Source organism: Homo sapiens, chromosome 7 (assembly GCF_000001405.40).
Source record: "Homo sapiens chromosome 7, GRCh38.p14 Primary Assembly".
Classification (NCBI taxonomy): domain Eukaryota; kingdom Metazoa; phylum Chordata; class Mammalia; order Primates; family Hominidae; genus Homo; species Homo sapiens.
In genome coordinates this window covers 67,590,786-67,614,722 of record NC_000007.14, presented here as the reverse complement: position 1 = coordinate 67,614,722, position 23,937 = coordinate 67,590,786, and the positions used below count along the sequence as shown (strand labels likewise).

The 23,937-nt window shown below is 45.6% G+C and overlaps 1 long non-coding RNA gene across 2 annotated transcripts in view; it reads left to right on the top strand.

The window, feature by feature from the left end:
* Positions 1 to 10,609: 10,609 nt before the first annotated feature.
* LOC105375340 (uncharacterized) overlaps positions 10,610 to 23,937 on the top strand; it is a 32,332-nt gene continuing 19,004 nt past the window's right edge. The window contains exons 1-3 of one of the 2 annotated variants that reach the window (XR_001745239.2): positions 10,610 to 10,670; positions 12,311 to 12,412; positions 18,714 to 18,843. This is a non-coding gene — a long non-coding RNA (uncharacterized LOC105375340). Of the gene's footprint in view, positions 10,671 to 12,310; positions 12,413 to 18,713; positions 18,844 to 23,937 lie in introns of those variants that run through there. The other variant, XR_001745238.2, reaches the window with a different exon arrangement.

The window sequence follows — 23,937 nt, the reverse complement described above, 5'->3', positions numbered from 1 at the left end:
ACATGGCGAAACCCCCTTGCTACTAAAAATACAAAAATTATCCAGGCGTGATGGCGCATACCTGTAGTCCCAGCTACTTGGGGGGCTTAAGGCAGAAGAATAGCTTGAACCCAGGATGGGGAGGTTGCAGTAAGCCGAGATCACACCACTGCACTCCAGCCTGGGCGACAGAGCAAGACTCCATCTCAAAAAAAAAAAAAAAATCACAATATGTGATTTCAAAAAGGTCACAGAAAAATGACATGTATATGAAACCAGACACATGTGTATCTGTACATTTTGGTGTCTCTCCAGGCAGCAGAAAGAAGTATACTTTATTTTGACATGGACAGTATTTTCTTTACAGGAATAGCCCATGCCAAGCAATATCCATCCTTGGCTTGATCTTGTCATGTTGTCGAGACAAGTTCTGGGTCCCACATCTGTATCCATTGCTTCCAACCTCATCTCAGTGGTCATTGCTCTCCCCAGTAACTCCCAGCTGGGACCACCATCCCTGGGCTCAAGACCAGTCCTGCGTTGACTTCTGATGAGGGAAACATTACCCAAGCTGACCATCCTTCCCTCCTGTGGGTTTGCTATTAAATCAGATTCCCTAGGGCTTTCCCCAGGAACAAACAATGCCCCTTTCCTGAAGGCTGCATCTCTGAATAGTGCTGATCTATCCTGAGGCCAAATGTCACCACGGCAGACCTTGCCATAGCAAGATCCAGGTCCTGCAGCTGAGGATCTCCAGGTCATCTCATGTATAAAATGCAATTTCCAGACTTTTTTCTTTGGTTCTCATACAGACATCATTGGTTGACTGAACCAACCTCCTGTAATTCTGTCCCAAGTCACTTTTTCGTTGATGCATCAATGTGGGATTCTCTGACCCAGTGTTGTTGTCAGTGAGTGGCGGATCCAGAAAATAAGGATCCAGGACCTTATTTGAAAGGTCCCACTCAGGCCAGGCACACTGGTTTACACCTGTAATCCCAGCACTTTCAAAGGCCTAGGCAAGTGGATCACTTGAGGTCAGGAGTTCAAGACCAGCCTGGTCAACATAGTGAAACCCTGTCTCTACTAAAAATACAAAAATTAGCTGGGCATGGTGGTATGCACCTGTAGTCCAGCTACTCAGGAGGCTGAGGCAGGAGAAACACTTGAACCCAGGAGGCAGAGGTTGTGGTGAGCCAAGATCGCGCCACTGCACTCCAGCCTGGGCAACAGAGCAGCAGAGTGAGACTCCATCTCAAAAAAATAAATAAATAAATAAAAAGGTCTAACTGGAAATGCACCTACAGTTCTTTACAACTTTCCCTTCTTCCTACCTGGAACCTAGATATGGTGGCTGGAATGGTAGCAACTATTTTGTGATGAAGAGGAATGAGTACAAAAGTATACATACTAAGAACAGTAGAGAAGAGTAAGAGCTTGGATCCCCAATATCATTGTCGGGTTCATTATGAGTCACCCACCCCAGACTTCTGAGTGGAGAATATAAACCCCCATTTACTTAAGCTATCGTTAATATAATTTATATTAATATTACATGTATAGCCAAACCCATTCCTGATATAATCCTCCTTTTAGGTTTCAGTAACATGACTGCTTTCTCAATGTATCTGCCCATCTCCCAGTGCAGGCTAGAGACTGTCCTACCTTTTTTTAAATTAAGGTAAAATTCCCATAATATAAAATTAATCAATATTCATTTGAATGTGTATAATTCCTTGCCATTTAGCACATTCACAAACGTGTACAAACATCATATCTATCTAGTTCCCAGATATCTACACCATCCGAAAAGAAAATCCTGTACCCACTGCAGTCCCTCCCCATATCCCCCATCCCCAGTCCCTGAAAACCACTAGTCTATTTTCGGGCTCTGTGGACTTGCCTATTCTGGACATTTCACATAAATAGAATCATATAATGGTGGACTTTTGTGTCTAGCTTCTTTCACTTAGCATAATGTTTCAAGGTTTATCCACATTGTGGAATGTGTCAGTACTTCATTCCTTTTAACGACTGAATAATATTCCATTGTATGGATATGCCACATTGTAGGTCTCCATTCACCCGTTGATGGACACTGGGGTTGTTTCCACCTTTTGGCTATTGTGAATAACTCTGCTATACACATTTGTGTACATGTTTTTATTTGAACCCCTGTTCCTCAGTTATTTGGGGTAGGTATTTAGGAGCGGAATTGTTGGGTCATGTGGTAATTCTATGCCTAGGTTTTTGAGAATCTGTAGCCTAACTCTTGGCAGCTCATTTCCTTATAATCCTGGAGTGTATCCCCTGAATGCTAATTCACCAACAAGGGCTCTGCTCTGCAGGGACCAGCCTGTTCAAGGGCTGTGTGTGCTGTTCAGCTTGATATATCTACCTCTCACTGTGCTCCATCCACAAGTGGTCCACCCGGAACTTCAGCTTCAAGCCCAGAGCTGGCCACAAGCCACTCTCTTGAGCAGTGGCCCCTGTTCCTTTGGACCCCAGCGTCCTACCCCAGGCTATCTATCCCACTCCCTAGGGTACTGAAGAAAGAGGACCTCAGACAGGAGGAAAACCAGAGGCAGATGAATGGATGCTCCAAGCCCTCATGGGTAAGTGGACTCTGGAGGAGGTTTAGGAGCCAGAGTGAGGGTTGGGGAAGGTAAAACTGGAAGACTGTGGAGTCAAGGGAGGGGAAGGGCAGATCCAGGATAAAGCCAAAATGATGAACCAGGTAGAACACCCAGCCAAAGTACCAGACACACCCTACCCAGCGGAAAGAAGCAAGGAAGAGGCAGAAGGGAGATGGTGGGAGACGCCAGAACTACGTGTCAGAAACTGAACAAATTCCCCAAGGCACTGCAGCCTTTTAGTGTTTCTAAGACTCCTAGAGTGGAGTTCACTGCCAGAGGCACCAAAGCAGTCAGACAGCATGCCTTTGTCATGCCCAGAAAAGTGTGCATCTGAACCTGAAACCATCCTTCAATCCTCTACCTGCACTTAGTCCTTATTAAATTGTGTTAGAGACTGTAAGAAAGTCCAAATCCCAGTCCATCTTTTCAATGAAAGTCACTCATAAAAGCAGTAATATGTTCCTGCTGTGAGTGGATATGCCAGCACATTTTTTATATTATAGATACAAGACTTCCAGGCATAGATCTTTGCTTTTTGCAATCCGTAAGTGCTCAGAGTGCTAAAATCTAGAAAAGGTTACACACATTGACGTATTATCTCAAAGTGGTGGAAAATGAAAAATCCAAAGTTTCATTTTCTCATTGTTTCCAAGGAGACTCACAGTTTCGATATCCCAGGATTTGTTACTCTTTAAGAGAAACAGACACACACTTCCCCCTCCCCCCATAAAGAAATACAGCTCATCCCCATATGGAAGAGGATTTGACGGCTACGTGCTCCATTTCTTGGAGTAACAGAATCACAGAGCAGAAAGCACTCAGGTAGGCAACATGGTCCATCAACCCAAAAGCCGGCCCCGCAAAGTTAGATGACTGTCAACGTTGGGCAGGGATGACAGCTTGGGTCTTATCACACCATGGTGTCTCCCTCCTTGCAGTTCCCAAAGACAGAAATTGATCATTGCATACCCATCAACCACAGGATCCCACTTTTGCCTTTGTTTGCAAGACAGCTGCCAAAATGGTTTGACAGTTCCATACAGAGAGCTCGTGTCTCCCCGTGGGAGCTCTGATTTTCTTCCTCACAGTATAATGACCCATCTTATTCAGAGCTGTCCATCTGGCTGTGGGTGCTTATGAGAACGTGGGAGACCAGCCACTCTAATTCTGAGGCTTAAAGCCCATAGGCTGAGGCTGTAACAAAAATAATACAAATAGCTGCTATTTGGGGAGTGCTGGCCTTGTGCCTGGCAAGTTACAGAAACTGACCTCTATAAATCTTCACAATGACCCTGGCAGTAGATATGACCATTAGTCTCACTTGTTGTCTGAAGAAACTGAGGCACAGAGGCGGAAACGCTTGCTCTGTGCTATGTTATTAACAAACAGCAGAACCCTCTGGTCTCCAGAACCCATGTCCTCAGATACTGCAGAACCTGGTTCCTATCCTGGGGCAGATACAGAGGGGAGTGGGTGTTTAAAAGAGGTAAGGTTGGGCCGGACGCAGTGGCTCACGCCTGCAATCTCAACACTTTGGAAGGCCGAGGCGGGTGAATCATGAGGTCAGGAGTTCGAGACCAGCCTGGTCAACATGGTGAAACCCCATCTCTACTAAAAATACAAAAAAATTAGCTGGGCGTACTGGCGGGTGCCTGTAATCCCAGCTACTCGGGAGGCTGAGGCAGGAGAATTGCTTGAACCTGGGAGGCGGAAGTTGCAGTGAGCTGAGATCGCACCACTGCACTCCAGCCTGGGTGACAAAAGAAGACTCTGTCTCAAAAAAAAAAAAAAAAAAAAAGATAAGGTTAGCAGTGAATGACTGAACCACATGTGGAACGAGAGCTACACTTAATACTAAGTTCAAGGCCGAAACACACTTAACATTAAGTTAAAGACATGTGTACAGGTCTCCAAGCCAATCTTCCCCTCTCCCTTCCCCTTTGCGACTTCCAAGTGCCTGACTGAGTAGAAGAGTTGGAGGGTTATTTAAATTTAAGGAGCCCCATGTGGTTTGTGGGCACCCTACGTTTCCTTGCCAACCTTAGATAGTATTGCAGTCCACTACAAAGCCTTTTTTTTTTTTTTTCAGATGGAGTCTCGCTCTGTTGCCCAGGCTGGAGTGCAGTGGCACGATCTTGGTTCAGTGTAGCCTCTGCCTCCCGGGTTCAAGTGATTCTCCTGCCTCAGCCTCCTGAGTAGCTGGGAGTACAGGCGCACACCACCACACCTGGCTAATTTTTGTCAAACTCCTGACCTCGTGATCTGCCGGTCTTGGCCTCACACACTCCAAAGCCTTTTAAGCGACTTCCTATAACAGGAAGTCTCATCTTAGGAAAATCTAGTTGCAAATCCAACCAGATATTAAGAAAAAACAGGCTGCATGCTGCATGGAGTGAGATTCTGACATTATCTTCCAATTCTCTCTCAGTTGAGAAGACATGAAAACTCTCCGGTGGCTCACGCCTGTAATCCCAGCACTCTGGGAGGCCGAGGCAGGCGGATCACGAGGTCAGGAGATCGAGACCATCCTGGCCAACACGGTGAAACCCCGTCTCTACTAAAAATACAAAAAAGTAGCCGGGCGTAGTGGCGGGCACCTGTGGTCCCAGCTACTCGGGAAGGCTGAGGCGGGAGAATGGCATGAACCCCAGAGGCGGAGCTTGCAGTGAGCTGAGATCGCACCTCTGCACTCCAGCCTGGGCGACAGAGCGAGACTCCATCTCAAAAAACAAAAAAAAAGAAAGAAAGTCCCAGCTAACTGGAGACAGGAGAGTATTCTCTTCTCTCTGCCTCTTTCCCTTGCGTTATCTTCTTCCGTGACTTCTTTACAAGCTGTCTCACACTGTCCTTATTCCAAGCAGGCCCAAGCTGTGGGCTCCTTTCTTTTGTCAGGAATTTGTGATGTTTTGCAGAATCATCTCACCTCTTTTCTGACCTCTGGGCTCAAAATAAATGCCAAGTACAGACTTCTTAGCTAAAGGATTGCTAAGAAAACTGCTTCTGCCCAAAGCAGTCTGAGAAATGCCCTCTACTCATCACTTTTTCTGCAGGAGTGGCTTTTCTCTTGGTGTAAAACCCTCCCCTTGCTGGCTGGCTGGCTACCGCTCTGTGCTATGCCTTCATATGCCACAAGGGACATTTTCTTCTGATATCCTGATTGGAAGGTCCAAAACAGATTTTCAGCACTGCGTAGAAAGGTGGACATGGTGGGTTTTTTTGTTTGTTTGTTTGTTTTGTTTTGTTTTGTTTTGTTTTGTTTTAAGACAGAGTCTCACTCTGTAGCCCGGGCTGGAGTACAGTGGCATGATCTTGGCTCACCGCAACCTCCACCTCCCAAATTCAAGTGATTCTCCTGCCTCAGCCTCCCGAGTAGCTGGGATTACAGGCGCCCGCCACTATACCCACCTAATTTTTTGTATTTTTAGTAGAGACAGGGTTTCACCATGATGGCCAGGCTGGTCTCGAACTCCTGACCTCATGATTCACCCGCCTCGGCCTCCCAAAGTGCTGGGATTACAGGCATAAGCCACTGTGCCCTTTTACCCATCACTCCCCAGAAAATCTGCTCAGGAGATGAAAATACTGAACTGTGTCATGCCCTTACTCTGTGAACTCCCACAGATGCCCACACACACTTGCACACGCAAAGAGTCCCTGAGCTTCTGTGGTTGAGAATTCAAGAGAGTCAAACTGGCATCTGATGCAAAGCCTTTCTCTATATGTATCTGAGACAAATATCAGGTGTTAAAATAAGAGGTTTTTGTATGTCATATAAATTTGACAATGAATAAATAATGATTGAACGCAGAATCTCAAATTAATGGTTTGGGATGTGGACTCTGTATATTCTGACAATAATGGGTCAGATATCCTGCCCGAGGCTCTGTAAATGCAGTGGCGGTGTTGAGAATGCAATTCCTGGTTATTTTCTGTTTCATCTGCAAAGCATTTAAGTATTAAGGAGGTTCACACCGGCAATTCCACTTCCCTTTGGAAGAGAATTGCAAGCCAGTCTGGGTTGTGGGTTCCTTTCTTGTTTCAGGAATTCATGATGATTTGCAGAATCATCTGACACCTTTACTTTACCTCTGGGCTCAAAATAAACTCACCGTCCTTGCTCTTACAATCACCCCTCCCTCCCCAATACCATTCCTCTCTCCCTTTCTGCAGGTTCTTTTTCCTTCAGCATATTAACACGCTCCCATCTCTCTCATCTTAAAAAATATAAATAATGCCTCCCTTAATCTTAAGTAACTGTTAAGTTCAATTAACACTAACCAATCTAGACTCAGCCAAGGGGTAGCAGAAACCAGCTTCACGAATTCTCTCGTGATTCCTTTCAGCCACTCTCTGGAACCTCCCTGTCCAAGAGAATTTTCTGCAGGGTGGAAACGTTCTATGTCTACACTGGCCAGCAGGGTAGCCACTAGCCATGTATAACTTTCAAGCACTTGACATGCGGCTAATGAGACACAGCACCTGAGTCTTTCATTGTATTTGACTTCCACTAATTTAAATTTAAATAGCCCCATGTGGCTTGTGGCTACCATCTGGGTCCTTACCAACCTGGATGTCACTGCAGTCCCCTCCATGGCCTTACTTCTGTCACTTCTGGTAGCTGGAAGTCTTGTCTTAGGAATTAAAATGTCTTGGATGGGGCACGGTGGCTCATGCCTGTAATCTCAGCACTTTGGGAGGCAAAGGCAGGTGGATCACCTAAGGTCGGGAGTTCGAGACCAGCCTAGCCAATATGGTGAAATCCTTTACTAAAAATACAAAAATTAACCAGGCGTGGTGGCGGGCACCTGTAATCCCAGCTACTCGGGGGCTGAGGCAAGAGAATCGTTTGAACCCTGGAGGTGGAGGTTACAGTGAGCCAAGATCACACCACTGCACTCCAGCCTAGGCAACAAAGCAAGACTCCATCTCAAAAAAATAAAAATAAAAAATAAGGAATTAAAGTATCTTGTCTAATGGCCAGTCACATAATTGCAGTCAGGTCTGGGGTGATCACAACACTCTGCAATGTTACCCACTTAGAATCCCTCCTCTCTGCCCACCCAGGTAGTTTTCTGGAGTGAGTGGAGTGTATTTAGGTGGCAGTGAGGGGCATTTTCTTCTTATCTCCTATTCCACCTCCTTCTCTCTTTTCTGGCTTTGCTTCTCATCCTTCCAGGGTCGGCACAGTGCAGGAAGGAGAGGGCTGCCATCCCAGGTTCCCATGGACCACTGCAATGGTGACCCGGTCTCAGGCCCTTTAGATCAGGGGACACATCCCCCAGAAGACCCCCTGACACCTGGTGTAGGTTCCCAGGTTCAGAAATAAGAACATGCCTGTTGTAAAGGGCACCTAATGCCACCCCACAGCCTTTGGGTGCTGAAGACTGGAAGTGGAACCATGGTCAGAGCCAAGACCGGTAAGCACCAATGCATGGCTCAGCCCAGGGGTGATGGTGGACCATTGGTTGCCCAGATCCCTGAACTCAACTCATCTTGTGTCAGATAGGAGGAAGCGTCACCCCAAATCATCATGGCAACACCAACCTGACAGCCCAAACCTCATGAAGGAAACTCTGGACCAACTAGCAAGAGTGATCTGTGTGCCAGGCTGCCCCCCGGGCCTGGCCACAGGACCTCAGAGTCACAACATAGGTACAATTCTTTGAGCTACTCCAGGCATCTGGTCAACCCCATGTGTGAAATAGAGGGTCAAAAGCATCCTAAGGAGAAGAAACAGGGTCTGGAATCCATGTAAGACCCAGTCTGAACTTTGATGTCCCACCTGGATGGCACTGCTGGCCTTGGCCAGGCCCAACCACAGAAAAGAGGCTTAGAAAATGTCCAGTAAGACTCTTTCCACGGCTGGAATCACTGGAACCAGGTCTGGGCTCGAGGCACCTTGCTCAAAGGGCACAGCTAGCTCCAGACAGACCCTGGTACTGGAAAGACTTAGGAAATTTTGAGGCTCGCTGAAGCTTGAGGTCCTCTGAGACACAGGGCTCAGGACGGGGAGCTGGCTCACCTGGGTCTGAAGGCAGTGTTGCCCTCTGCCCTGGAGGAGAACTAAACAACAGGGTGCAGGGAACAGTGCGGGGAAGAGAGATGTTGGAGAAAAGTGAGAGGCCCATTCCATTCACAGGCTGCTACTATTGGGCTGGAAAGATGAATGAGAAGGAAAGACACAAAGGTTAATTGAGCACCTCAATAAAACTCCTGGCTGTGCCTTCTGTCATGACTGGGGTCCACTTGGTGGATCCCCTTCTGGCAGCTACTTTTGTGAGTTCCTTCAGAGACTTCCAATGGAGCTCTCCAAGGTTTCTCCCTTCGCTGATGGAGGCCACCCACTTCCCTGCCAGCCTCTTGTTTCTGCCCCTCTGCCCGTGCTCTGGTGGGGCTTTTGTGCTCTTTTCCCTGGGATCTCTTTGCCCAAGCAGGTGGTTGTCTTACCTCAAATCCTTTCAAGATAGTGCCAGCCCAGCTATCATCTCCAAGTCCACTTGGCCCGTAGGGAGCATGTACTTTGTCCTGCAGCTAATGGACAGGCAGCTTGCACCAACTGTACCCTTTGTGTCTCACTGCATTTCCATCCTCCTGAAAATCTGGGGGACACTGTTTCCCCACACTTTTCTGCTCTGTTCTTGAAGCACTTGGAGAAGCTCTCAGCCAGAGAGTCAGGTGGCAGTCTCCCCATGTAGCAATTACCCCACTCTCTGCAGGGGGTGATCTCAGGGACACTCACATGCCTTAAATGTAGAGGTGGGGATGAGAGAGGCTGCAAAAGTTGAAAAAAAGCCAGCCCAAGAGCACTGTATCCCAAGGTGGGTGATGGTCTTGTAATAACCATTTTCTTCTCGCCCACTGCACAGGTACAGCCAATTCACTGAGACAGCAGTGTTGCAGTGGAGAAAAGGTTTAATAAATGCAGAGCTAGCCAAGGGGAAGACAAGAGTTTATTACTCAAATCAGCTTCCCAAAACATTTGGAGACTAGGGAGTTTTTTAAGGATAATTTGGCAGGCAGAGTGTTAGGAAATTGGGAATGCTGATTGGTTGGGTCAGGGATGAAATCATAGGAGGTTGGAACTGTCTTCTTGTACTGAGTCATTGCCCGGGTGGGATCACATGACCAGTTGAGCCAGTTTCCTGGTATGTGCCACCAGTCCAGGTGGTGCCAGCTGATCTATCAGAATGAAGGGTCTGAAAAATACCTTAAACACCAATGTTAGGTTTTACAGTAGTGTTGTTATCTATAAGAGCAATTTGTGGAGATTATGGGTCTTGTGACCTCTGGTTCCATGACTCCTGAGCCATAATTCTAATCTTGTGGCTAATTTGTTAGTTTTACAAAGGCATTTTCAGTCCCCAAGCAAGGAAGGGGTTTGTTTCAGGAAAGGGTTGTTATCATCTTTGTTTTAAAATGAAACTGAAAACTAAATTCCTCCCATAGTTACCTTGGCATACACCCAGGAATAAGCAAGGGTAGCTGTGAGGTTAAAAGCAAGATGGAGTCAGTTAGATCAGATTTCTTTCACTGTCATAATTTTTGCAAAGGTAGTTTCAGTCTCAAAGCCTTGGAGCCTGTCTGGACCACCATTCACAGTTCCTGGAGAGGCAGCTCCAGCAGTTCTATTCAGAGGCATTGTTCAAGGTCTGAACTGACTCCCCTCCTCCCTCAGACTTTAAATAATTGTACACACTTATTGAGTACCTGCTAACCTAATGTCCCTTGCAGAATGCTTTGTAAAGATTGCCCCATTCAATGCTTCTTTTGGCCCTCGAGATAGATATTGCTGCAAACTCCTTTACAGATGACAATAGAATATTCCAAGGGGTTGCACAGCTAATAAAAGCCTGAGCCCAACAGTCTATGCCCTCAAACCACTGCACTCAGCTTCTTGGAGGAGGCTCCCTTTGCCCCCTAGGAGTCAAATAATTAATCGTACAGTAAATGGTTCAATACCCCCTCTTCCCCTCCTCTGCCCCATCGTCAACAGCCTCTTATTCACTGCTCAACTTTCCATGTCTACTAGCATGCTGCTTACATAGTAAATGATCAGTAAGTATTTATGGAATTTTGAATGGAGAATTGCTAAGGAAAATGGGAGAGAAGCTTGGCTTTGCCTTGAACCATCCCCCACACAGTTAAATGGGCCAATTATCTCAGTTATAAGAATTTATAGCCTAGAGTCAATTGGGCACAGTTCAAAAAAGAGGAAATTCAGAGAAATGAAATGTGAAGACTCCTGTCTTATAAATGGCGTCTGTAATTGGCTCCATCCTAAATTGCTGTGTGACTTCTTGGCAAGTCAGCTACCCTCTCTGTTCCTGAATTTCCTAATCTGTAAAATGCATGGGTTATTCTGATTATATCAAAAGACTCTCTCAGCCCTGAAAATGCTATGAATTCGTAATAGTGTGGTTCTAATACGAATCAGATTCATGGCTAGTCTGACATGTAGGCGAAATTGATAACAGCCTATGTGACCAATGAGGTCTCTCAACCATGCAATATGACCGCCCCTAAAAGATCTCTATCTATTCTCTTCCATTCCTCCACAATCTAGCCTAACTTAGCTCTGGGAGCTCACAGTTGAGGGCTCAGGACTCAACGCTGCTCTCTTGCTAGGAATCTGTGAGTTCCTAAGGTTGTCAGAGGAGGAGTGCCTGGCCAGGCAAGTGGAATGATGTGGCCAGAGCATTGGAGTGAACAAAGGGCCTTTCAAGGTGTCGTAGGGATGTGGCTCATAGGAAATGGGGCTTCATTCTCTTTCATCTTCCTGCTTCTTTCCCAGAAAGGTAGTGCCTTTCAGAGGCTCAGAAATGTGTTTCTTATAATAAAATCTGTCTAATAACATGCTACTTTCCTCAAAAATTATCATCATTAAAAGCAACAGCATTAATTCAACATGGTTTTTATAAACAGGGCTGAAAACAGGAAAGGTAATGTCAGATCAATCCCATCTATGCAGCCTGAAGATTTTGCCGTGTATTTTGCAAATTAGTGCAAAAGCAGAAGAGTTTAGACTGCGACTACACAGAGACCCATTGTCCTGGCTAAAACCCAGGGGCTTGAGTCAGGAGCAGTGGCTCACGCCTGTAATCCCAGAACTTTGGGAGGCTGTGGTGGGCAGATTGCTTGAGCTCAAGAGTTCGAGCCCAGCCTGGGCAACATTGAGAAACCCTCTCTTTACAAAAAATATAAAAAGTTAGCCGGGTGTGGTGGCACGCACCTGTAGCTCCAGCTACTCAAGAGGGTGAGACAGAAGGATCACTTGAGACTTGAGCCCAGGAGGTCAAGGCTACAGTGAGCTGTGATCGCATCACTGCACTCTAGCCTGAGCAATAGAGTGAGACCCTGTCTAAAAAAAAAAAAAAAACCAACCCAGGGGCTTCAGCTAATTTGAGATGAGCTACTGCCTGCCGGGTGTATCACATGCCTTCCCCATTTATCTCCACCAAGGCATTCAGCTCCCGTTTCAGAGTGCAACAGGCTTCCTGCACTGCTGCAAGAAAATAACCACAACCTTCTCCCACTGCCCATGGCCTGATGGCAATGAACGCTTCCTTCGGCTTTACCCATTGTCACCTTGGCTTTGTTCAAAACATCAAATCATTGTGTCTTACTTATTCCAAGCCTTGTATTAATAATAAGGAATGATGACTCAGCATAAATGAAGCACTCCTTTCTTCCCTTAGGTCCGCGACAACCTTGGGTCTGGAATCGCAATGGTCAGCCACGTTGTCCCCAGAGTTTAGAGATAGATATGCTCACAAAAATTGCAGCCGTACTCAATAAGAGTGAGTAAAACAACTTCTGCATAGTCTTGCGGGAACATAGGAGAGTTAGCAGCTGATCCTGCACCGGGGAGAATAGAGAAGTCTCCCTAGAGGAGGAGACATCTGGGCAGTGTCCTGATGTGCACAGGGTGGGAAAGGTTATTCTGGGAGAAGGACACAGCTTAGAGAGAAGCACAGAGGCATCACAGCAGGTGGTTCATCAGAACAGACACAAGTGGTTCCTGTGTGGCTAGATTATGGAGGGATGGAAGAGAACGGATAGAGATCTTTAAGGGGGTGGGCATATTATGTAGTTGAGGGATCTCACTGGTCACGTGAAAAGTTATCAATACTGCCTGCATGTCATGCTAGATATAAATCTGATTCCTATTAGAACTACACTATTATGAATTTATAGCATTCTTAGGGCTGAGATAGTTTTTTTGATAGAAACAGAACAACTCTCGCATTTTACAAATTAGGAAATTTAGGAATAGAGAGGGTAAGCGACTTGCCAAGAGGTCAGACAGCAATTTAGGATGGAGCCAGTGATCTTGAGTTGGTGGCTTATTAACTCAGAGTTCACAGAGCAGAAACACATGTAGGTCAGTTCCTTCATTATAAGATGGTTGGGCATAAAAGTTATGCTCCCAAATATAAACTAAACTGTGGTATCTCTGAGTGGCATCATTATGACCGGTTTTTATCATATTTTTATACTTTTCTGTATTTGCCAAAAAGTCATACAATGAGTATGCATTACTTCTATAACCAAAAAGTACATGATTGTAAGAGAAGAAAATAAGTCTCGTTAGTACTTTAGCCAGTAAGAGCAGTGTGAACCAGGGGAGAAGAGAAAACACGTTTAGTGATCAGGCTTCCATGAGGCAGGATCACAGTTAGGGAACAAGGAGGGAAGTGTGCTAAGAAGGAAATCATGGCTTCTTCCAAATTTGCCTGATACTATCCAGCCATGCGTCTTTTACGTAGGTGTGAGCACCCTGGAGGTACATATTTGCAGTCTGCTTTTTTCACTTACCGTAAACATTTCCTCTGGAGTGTCATGGATTCTCCAAGGCAACCTTTCAAAGGGTTCCTTGCTACCTGTGAGCAGGCGATCCATGCCTTCCTTAAATATTCTTCCATATTGGACTTGTCACCTGCTTCAAATGTAGCAAAAATAAGGCTTCCATGAACCTCTTTATAGGTCAACGTAATTCTTTGGCATCAGGTAGTAGAAGTGAGAATTTGTACTGAGGATAAATAGAATCAACCCCAAAGGAGGTAGAGAATGGACGTTTTTAACACTCTTCATACCTGTCACCAAATTGCTTTTGTGCACAGAGTGTTTCCCTGGGGAATGTGGTTTGAACTGTTGCTCTTTTTCATGGCAGCTGGCCTGGATTTCAATTCTAGCTCTGTCATCCTGGACAGAGTCCCCTTTCTTCTATGTCCCTAAATTTCCAAGAAGAGGGGGGTGGTTTTGCAGTTACAATGTTTGTTTCTACGCTCTTTGACTAATAAAGCTGGGATCAAAAGAGTCCATGCTATTATTTTGAGCGATTACACTTGAAAACAGGATTTATTTTCAGCCTCCCTTATCTGGTTTCCTTTTTTCAAGGTGAAACCAGGCAGGAGACGAATCTATACAGCTTGTCTCCCTCACATCCACACACAAATATCATTTTCTGCCAGATTTCAAATGCAATAGTTACAGAGTGGTGCCTATTACTCAAGTCAATGTGATGTCCTCACCCAGACGTCTGGTCACCATTATATACAATTTATGAATCCAACCCAGAAACAAGGCAAAGGGAAAATGAACATGGACTTGAAGTGTCTGTGGTCATGAAATCGCTTTTCAGTTTGATGTCTCTACGAGTTCACGCTCATTTTCATTTCTCTATTTCTTCCCAAATTTGTTACCCCGGTGACTGACGCTCCAATTACAATTTCCTTCCCCGGCTTGCTCTCATGCTATCCAATAAATGTCATGGCCTTTCGCTGCACCGTGCATTTATTTTCCAATTACTGTGGGTAAACAGGGATGTGCAAGCAATTGAATTGAAGCTTTTAACTCATTTGATTTGGTCCCAAGCAAAATTTCAGAGATTGAGACATAAACATCAAAGCTATTCTCTACAGAAATGACAAGGGTTGGGAGAAACTGCCTGAATAATCCCCCTTTTGCAAAGAGCGAAAAGATGTCTGCTGGGACATCTTTACCCCAAAGTGACTTCATGTTCCAAAAAGACATGATGTTTCCAGGTCTGTCCGAGTAACGCTCTCATCTGTTTCAATTCTGAGCCAGCGCCCATCAGCCTCTTTCAATCTCCATTAGCAGGTTGGAAATTTATTCAGAAAGCCGACAGGTACTATTTGGGGTATGAGTGACCACTGATTTATGAATATTGAGTAGCATTTCAATAATCTGAGGCAGAGTAATCACTTGTGGCTGCAGCCAGCTCTCCTTGCCATTACAGCCTACAGCAATCACTCAAAGCCAGTTAAATGATTCTGATTTAGGACCTTAACCTTCAGGGTCCACTCCATTTGCTCTCTCGGTGTGTAAATTCTAAAAATGCAATTCCCTCCACCTCCAGAGAGCCAATTTAAGTCAACATTATGCATGAACCGAGAATGCGGGAATTCTCAGATCTCTTATTTCACTCATTAAATTTACACTGAACATCTTGCAATTAAAATTTCATATAGATTTCTTCTTATGATTGACATTTGGCCTTGATGAAATGGGTTCAAAATTTGGACTCTCAGAAGACATAGAAGGAGTGCGATGTGGGTCTGGGCATTGTTTGGAGAAAGATGATGATCAGGCACTAATACTTTGATTAGCATTTTGAACAGACTCGTTGGTGAAGGGTTGGCTCTACCCCACAATGAAAGACATTGGGGATCCAAGCCAGGAATGAGAAGCAAACCCAATCTGCTTTGAAAACTCTGCTCATTTAGTTTGTCAATAATAAAAGAAGAAACTCGTGGACTGTGAGAGCAAGAAGAAGCCTTGCAGATCTCATAGATCAAAGCCTCTGTGTTTCAGCCATAGAATCAAGCATCTAGAAGGAAAAGGACTTTCCCAGCACAGCAGAGATGTGGCTACTCACCAATCTCTTCTTCCTTCCTTACACTTCTGCCTTGCAGTTTGGCCATGTGACCAAATTCTGGTTAATGGAGTATTAAAGAAAGTAATGACTGTCATATCCAGGCTAGTTCATCAAACCTTTCCACACCCAGTCCTCACTCAATTTCCCCATCCAACTGCATGGACAGCCATATGAGTGAGAAATAAACATGTTGAGGTTCGCCACTGAAGTTGAGGGTTGCTTTAGCAATTAAACCACTCTAACACACCCAAGATCATGCTGTGGGTTAGTAAGCTAGCCCTTGAGCAATACATCCAAGGGCACACAGTGTGTCAGTTGGCCCACTTTTGACACCCAGTAACACACAGTGGGTCTAATATACTCAAGGACACACAGTGGGACAGTTGACCCACTCTTGACTAACATATCTAAGGGCACACAGTGGGTCAGTTGGCCTGCTCTTGACTAATACACCCAAGAATACACAGTGGGTCTAATATACCCAAGAACACACAGTGGGTCTAATATACCCAAGAACACACAGTGGGTCTAATGTCCCCAAGGACACACACTGGGTCTAATATACCCAAGGACATACAGTGGGACAGTTAACCCACTCTTGACTAATACATCTAAGGGCACACAGCAGGCCAATTGGCCCACCCTTGACTAATACATCCAAGGGCACACAGTGGGTCAGTTGATCCACTCTTGACTAATACACTCAAGAAGGCACAGTGGATCAATTGGCCCACCCTTGAATAATATACTCAAGGGCACACAGTAGGTCTGTTGGCCCACCCTTGACTAGTAAACCCAAGGGCACACAGAGGATTAATTGGTTTACCCTTGACTAATACACCTAAGAGCCTAAGAGCACACAGGAGATGAATTGGCCTGCTGTTAAATAATACATCCAAGGACACACAGTGGGCCAGTTGCCCCGGACTTGACTAGCAAACCCAAGAGCACACAGCGAGTTAGTTGTCCCAGGCTTGACTAATAAACCCAGGGGCACACAATGTGTAAGTTGGTTCACCCTTTACTAACACACTCATGGGCACAGAGTGGGTCACTGAAGGAGTCAGAACTGAAGCCCAAGCTTCAAGATTAGAGGCCCAGTGCCTTCTCTTCCACTCAAAGTGCCTTGGTTTTGGAGCATTTTTTGAGAAATCAAAGTTAAAAATGTACACATCTAACTAGGTGTCAAGACTAGTCCCCCATGGCCGGGTGCGGTGGCTCACACCTGTAACCCCAGCATTTTGGGAGGCCAAGGTTGGTGGATCACAAGGTCAAGAGATCGAGACCATCCTGGCCAACATGGTGAAACCCCATCTCTACCAAAAATACAAAAACTAGCTGGGCGTGGCAGCACGCACCTATAATCCCAGGTACTCGGGAGGCTGAGGCAGGAGAATCGCTTGAACCTAGGAGGTAGAGGTTGCAGTGAGCTGAGATTGGGCCACTCTACTCCAGCCTGGCAACAGAGTAAGACTACATCTCAAAAAAAAAAAAACAAAAAAACAAAAAAAAAAAAAAAATGCTAGTCCTGAGGTAGGATTTATAAAAGTAACTCCCCTGTCCCATGTATCTATTCAAATAGGTTAATACACACCAGCACCATTGCTTCATTGTGTTGTGTTTTTGTTTGCTTTATTTGGGGCAGGGAATATTTTAACATTAGGAGGATAAAGGAGCTTAGTGGTACAAGTTGTTTTTCTGGATGGAGCCTGAGAAAGAAAGAGAAGAAAGATAGAAGTGCTGACATGTTGCTCATCTCTGCAGAGAACCAGAGGCACTGAACCGAGCCCCACAGCTGAAGGAGTGGGGTTGATGGAAGGCTACATGAGACACCAGACACCCCAGGCCTAGGGCAGAAAATGCGACAGAGAGGAGGCAGTGGTGTGTAAATTTTCAGGAGCAGGCTGGTGCAGAGGGGTTCTTGATAGGTAACAGCTGCCTGTTTTCCATGGTGTAAATACTCCCATCATAGTCAATTTCAAGCTATCCACATGATGTCATTAACCTCAGAGATGGGATGAGACGCACACAATTGACTCTGAAAAGCCAGTAGTGAGGTAGGAGGCAGGACTCAACTCAGGAGGTAGGGCTTGGATACTGGACCATATTGAGGACTAGCTAAAACAGGGATGGGGTGGAAGCAGCTTTCCATAAAACGTACCCACAATGTGCCATGTCAGTTTTCCATTGCCATGGCAACACTTGGAAGTTACTGCCCCTTTCTATGGCAATGACTTGATGACCCAGAAGTTACCACCCTTTCCCTAGAAATGTCTGCATAATCCACTCCTTCATTTGAATGTAATTAAAAGGGGGTATAAATGTGTGAGTGCAGCACTGCCTCTGAGCTACTACTCCAAGCACACTGCCTATGGGGTAGCCCTGCTCTGCAAGGAGCGTTATCTCTGTTGCTGCTGTGCACCACGGCTTCAATAAAAGTTGTAGTCGAACACAACCGGCTGGCCTTTGAATTCTTTCCTGGGCAAAGCCAAGGACCCTCCCAGGATAAGCCCCAGTTTGGGGGCTCACCTGCCCTGCCTCAGTAGAAACCAGCTCCAGCGCACCACCAGGAGGGACCATGTCTCCCCTACTATGCCACAATAACTCAGTATGGCTTCAGCATCCCGCAGATTCGAGAGGGCTCCAAGAACAGCAGAGCACAAGGAAAAACTGCAGAGCCCCATGAGAACAGACTGCCATGAAAGACACCAGCAACAGGGTTGGAAGTGACCCCTCTCATAGGTGACCTGTGCACAGCAGACTGCAGACTGGGAATGGGAGATAGCAGAAAACACACGGGTGCATTCTTAGGCACAGAGACCTTGTTAGAAATAGGGGCAGGTTCAAATTGCAGAGTTGGTGTTTCATGGATTGGGGAGAGAAGGTAGCATTGTTTCTGCACCCCTGTGAATACACCTTCATCTTCACTGATAGGCTAGTGAGACCCAGACCATTTCAGATACACAAGAGAGACAGTGCTGATGGTTGGAACAAGAGAACTGCTCAGCCTAGAAGTCTCTAAAATCTACCTGATATTTGGAAAAAACAAAAAAAAAGAAATAGTGCACAAAGCATATCACTAGAAAGTGTACTAGAATTTGAGTGAAAATATCCAATTCTGGTCTCAGTCCTATCACTTCACATCTCAAATTTAGTTTCTTCAACTGTAAAATAGAAATGAAACTCCCTGCGTTTCACAGGTTTCCTGGAAGAGTTCAATGAGCTAGAACGTGTGACTGTGCCTCTCACCCAGGAGCGATCTCACCATCAATCAGAGAACACGAGTTGAATCTGATTTGGAACCAGAACAACGATTGCCTCTCATCTGGACTAAAGACTGGCCTAGGATGGCTCTCCTGACCTCAGAGCCAAGTCACAGGCAAAACAGAATTTGACTTATCCACCTTCCCCTTGATTGACCCAAACCCAACCAAAACCGTCCTTTCGAGAGCATTTCATCGTTAGCCAGTCAGCTTCCCCGATTCACGGCCAACTGTTGTTTATAGTGTTGGTTCCAAATGCCAGGCAGCACTGCACCGAGGACATGGGCAGAACTTCAACAGGCAAAGACCCATCAGGCAGACAAACGTGTTCGAAAGACTCTCCAGCACGGCAGGTGGAGCCCCGCTCCCTGGAAAGCCAGTCCTCCACCTGGCACAGAAAACTCAAGTCTATCTATCCAGCCTGTAGCAAAGCCAGCCCCAGGCAAATCTGAAAAATAGCAATGCAATCCCTTGGAGCATTTCTTCTCAATGTCTAATGCTTCTCTCAGGATATCACCCCATCTTCCACCTCACCAAGCAAAAGTGGACATAGTAATGGAGCAGAGGAGGGTTGATATGAATAGATGTAAGACTTGGCATCCTGCACAGCACACGTCAATCATTTCTTTCATTTGCTCATTACTAAGTGAGCATTTGGTAAATGTCTGGGTCCCAAGCACTGACCTAGAAACAGTGGACACAGGCACAGAGCTAATAACAGTGGACACAGACACAGATCTAGGAATAGGAAACACAGGCACAGAGCTAGGAACAGTGGACACAGACACAGGGCTAGGAATAGGGGACACAGGCACAGAGCTAGGAACAGTGGACACAGACACAGAGCTAGGAATAGGGGACACAGGCACAGAGCTAGGAACAGTGGACACAGACACAGAGCTAGGAACAGTGGACACAGACACAGGGCTAGGAATAGGGGACACAGACACAGAGCTAGGAATAGGGGACACAGGCACAGAGCTAGGAACAGTGGACACAGAACATATGAGACAAGGTCTCTGCAACTCAGTAGCTCAATTTGGGAGGAGTAGGGGGACAAGAAGACAGACCTTTTTGTTTGTTTGTTGGTTGGTTTGAGACAGTCTTTCTCTGCCCCCAAGCTGGAGTAGTGGCACAATCACGGCTCACTGCAGCCTCAACCTTCTGCACTCTAGCGATCCTCCCACCTCAGTCCCCACAAGTAGCTGGGACTACAGCTGTGCACCACCACACCTGGCTAGTTTTTGTTTGTTTGCTTTTGTAGAGACAGGGTCTTGCCATGCTCCCCAGGCTGATTTCAAACTCCTGGGATCAAACAATCCTCGTGTGTTGGCCTCTTAAAGTGCTTGCATTACAAGACAGATGTTTAAATACATCAGAGCAATAATATATTACGGATGCTAACACATTGTCTAGACAGAGCCTCGTGAGGACCCAGAAAGGACCCAGTGGGGAGAGTGGTGTTCAGTTTCACCCATTAGAGCTCCCTACAACGTGCATCCCTTAAGCAGAGCGGGTATTCATGAAGCAGCCCTGGGGAAAGGGCTCAGGGCAGCCTCAACCAATCAATGCTCAAAGGCATTGATACATGACATAGGATGGCAGTTTGGGGAGTTGCTGGTAACAATTCAGTTAGACCAGAGTGCTGAGAGCAAAAGGAGCTTCCATTAGTGATAAGGCAGGAGAGGTTAGCAGAGGACAGATTGGGGCTAGCCTCACTTTGACCCCGACTGGCAGAGGCACCCCATATTCCTGCAATCAGCACAGCATTCAGCCCTTCCTCTGTTTATGGACATGGCTTGAGAAACAGGAGAATCGAGAAGGAGGCAGGAAAGAGGGGGACATGCTTCTCTAGGCATAGGGTCACGCAAGGATGCTGGTCTTTGCAAATCCACTCTATCCTTACAGGGAGAGAAGGTACAAACAAAGTGCACGTTCCAGGAGCCAATGACTCAGACCACGCTGCTGTCTGTAACATGATATGGTAACAAACATGGCTCCAGCTCCTCGATGCACCTACAGGGCAGCAGCACTAGGTATTGGCTTGCAGGAAACGGCATAGATAATCACAGCCCTTCAGGCTCCAACAGCACTGTCTGTAAAGTCATGTTGTCAATGACATCAATCACTTTTTATTTGTCCACCAGTGTTATCCACTTTGCGGGATTCAGTAGTGCCTCTGAAATGCTTCCCTGCATTGCACAGTCCTCTAACCTGCTCTAGAGAGCTGCACCTGCCATCCTCCCAATGAGGTTGGGATGGGGAGAATAATAATGTTTATTGAGACAGGGTCTCACTCTGTCTGGAGTGCAGTGGCACCATCATGGCTCACTGCAGCCTTGACTTCCTGGGATCAAGTGATCCTCCTGCCTCAGCCTCCCAAAGTGCTGGGACTAATTACAGGCACCGGCCACCACACCCAACAGAAAATAATAATTAAAACAATGGTACTATTACTCTGCATTCAGGCACCACTTTAGACTCCTGAAGCACTTTTCTGCATGCTCCTTCTACCTTCTGGGTGACCAGCTGGCACCTGCTCAAGTCTGAATGTTTGCAGTCAGAATCTTTGCAGTCGGAACCCTGGTGGTATTCCTAAGTCCACCTCTCTGTCCATTGTAGACGCATCTCTTCCCCACTTGAGTTTAGTGCTTAGCATTTAGCATGTCACCATTTTATAGATAAGCACCACTCTAATGATAATCACAGTAATAACATCCAGTGTTAATTAAGGCACTGGGCTAAGCCTGTGAAACGAGGTAGGCATCCTTGTTATTTCCCATTTTACAGAAGAGGAACCCGAGGCTGAGAGAGGCAGATTGCCCAAGACTCACAGTGAGCAAGTTTGGAAGCATAGACTCAACCCAGTTTTCTGGAACATTGTCTCTTAATAAATAAGCAATTGGTGACGATTGCTAAATACATCATTGCTGGCTCTCAAATAGAAGAATTGCATAGCTGCCTCCCCAGTGTGGTCTCCTTATAAATAAATGCCTCGGCTGAGAGACTCTAAAGAGAACATACCAGCCCTGTGAGTGCTTTTATGCAGGGCTGAGCTAAGCCACCAAGAACACCAAGGAGAAGATTATCAAACAACTTTTTCAAAGTCCAATAACCTTCCCTATCTGGAAGTTATTTATGGACTCAGAGAAGAAGGATGTGTGTGTGTGTGTGTGTGTGTGTGTGTGTGTGTGTGTGTGTGTGTGTGTGTGACAGAGAGAGAAACAGAAAGACAGAGAGACAGAGGGAGCCCCAGACAAATCAAGAGAGACAGAGGGCAACATCTCCAATTACAAACTAATATTTGGGACTCACTTTTAAGAACCGCAACATACCTTCCTCAAGCAGCAAAATACTGGAGCATCTCAGAAACAATTGTGATTAGCCTCCCCATTCTAATTCTCATGGCACATTTTTTGGGGTTACAGCTCTAACTGTATTCTAGCTGGCATCAGATCATATCATGTACAGCTACGTCAGCATATCAGGTGGGTAGAGCAATTCTAAGCTTGTTCACAAAGGACAGGGGTTCTGCCTTGTACAACACCCTACCCATAATGCCAAGTATATGATAGCTGTTTGACAAATATTTGTTGGCCGAAAAGATCACATTCCGGAAGGGAAATCTAGCATTCAAGCAAATAGGTTTTGATATGGCATAGTCACCACTGTAACAGAAGCAATGACAATGCATAAAAGTTGATCAGAGAGATACGTGTACACCCATGTTCATGGCAGCATTAGGAACAAAAGCCAAAAGGTAGAAACAACCCAGGTGCCACCAATAGATGAATGAATAAACAAAAAGTGACATATCCCTACAGTAGACTATGATTCAACATGTACGAACCTTGAAAACATTATGCCAAACAAGATAAGCCAGTTACAAAAGGACAGACGTTGTATAAGTTCACATAATGAAATATCTAGAAAAGGCAAATTCATAGAGACAGAAAGTAAATTAGAAGTTACCATGGGCCGGGCGCGGTGGCTCACCCCTATAATCTCAGCAATTTGGGAGGCTGAGGGGGGCGGATCACTTGAAGCCAGGAGTTTGAAACCAGCCTGGTCAACATGGTGAAACCCTGTCTCTATTAAAAATACAAAAATTAGCCGGGCATGGTGGTGAGCACTTGTAGTCCCAGCTACTCGGGAGGCTGAGGTGGGAGAATCACTTGAACCCAGGAGGCAGAGGTTGCAGTGAGCGGAGAAGGCGTCATTGCACTCCAGCCTGGGTGACAGAGCAAGACTGCATCTCAGAAAAGAAAAAAAAAAAAAGTTACCAGAGCCTGGGATAAGAGGAATGGGAAGTTATCCTTTTTTCACCTCCATCTCCCAGGTTCAAGGATTCTCCTCCCAAGTAGCTGGGACTATAGGCATGAGCCACCACACCCAGCTAATTTTTTGTATTTTTAGTAGAGATGGGGTTTCACCATGTTAGCCAGGCTGGTCTCAAACTCTTGACCTCATGCGATCCGCCCCCCTCGGCCTCCTGAACTGCTGGAATTACAGGCATAATTCCACAGCACCTGGCCTGGAAAGTTATCCTTAACGGGTGTGGAGTTTCATTTGGAGCGATTAAAAGATTTCAAAGCTAGATAAGGGTGATAGTCAGAGAATGGGAGGAGAGAGATAATCAAGGAAAATAACTAATGGGTACTAGGCTTAATACCTGAGTAATGAAATAATCTGTATTACAAGCCCCCACGACACAAGTTTATCTATGTAACAAACCTACACCTGTACCCCTGAACTGAATAAAAGTTAAAAAAAATAGTGATAGGTACAATGGTGATTGTAATAAATGTCACTAAATTTTACACTTACAAATAGTTAATAGGATTTTATCATAATCTTTTCTGCATCTATTGAAATAATCATATGATTTTTGTTCTTAATTCTCTTTATATGGTGAATCACATTTGTCGATTTCTGTATGTTGAACTATGCTTGCATCCAAGCAATAAGGCCTAATTTACTTGTGATAAGTTAACTTTTTGATATGCCCATCAACAGTGGATTGGATAAAAAAATATGATATATATTATATAGATACAGTGGAATACTATGCAGCCATGAAAAAGACCAAAATTATGTTCTTTGCAACAACATAGATGCAGCTAGAGGCCATCATCTTAACCGAATTAATGCAGAAACAGAA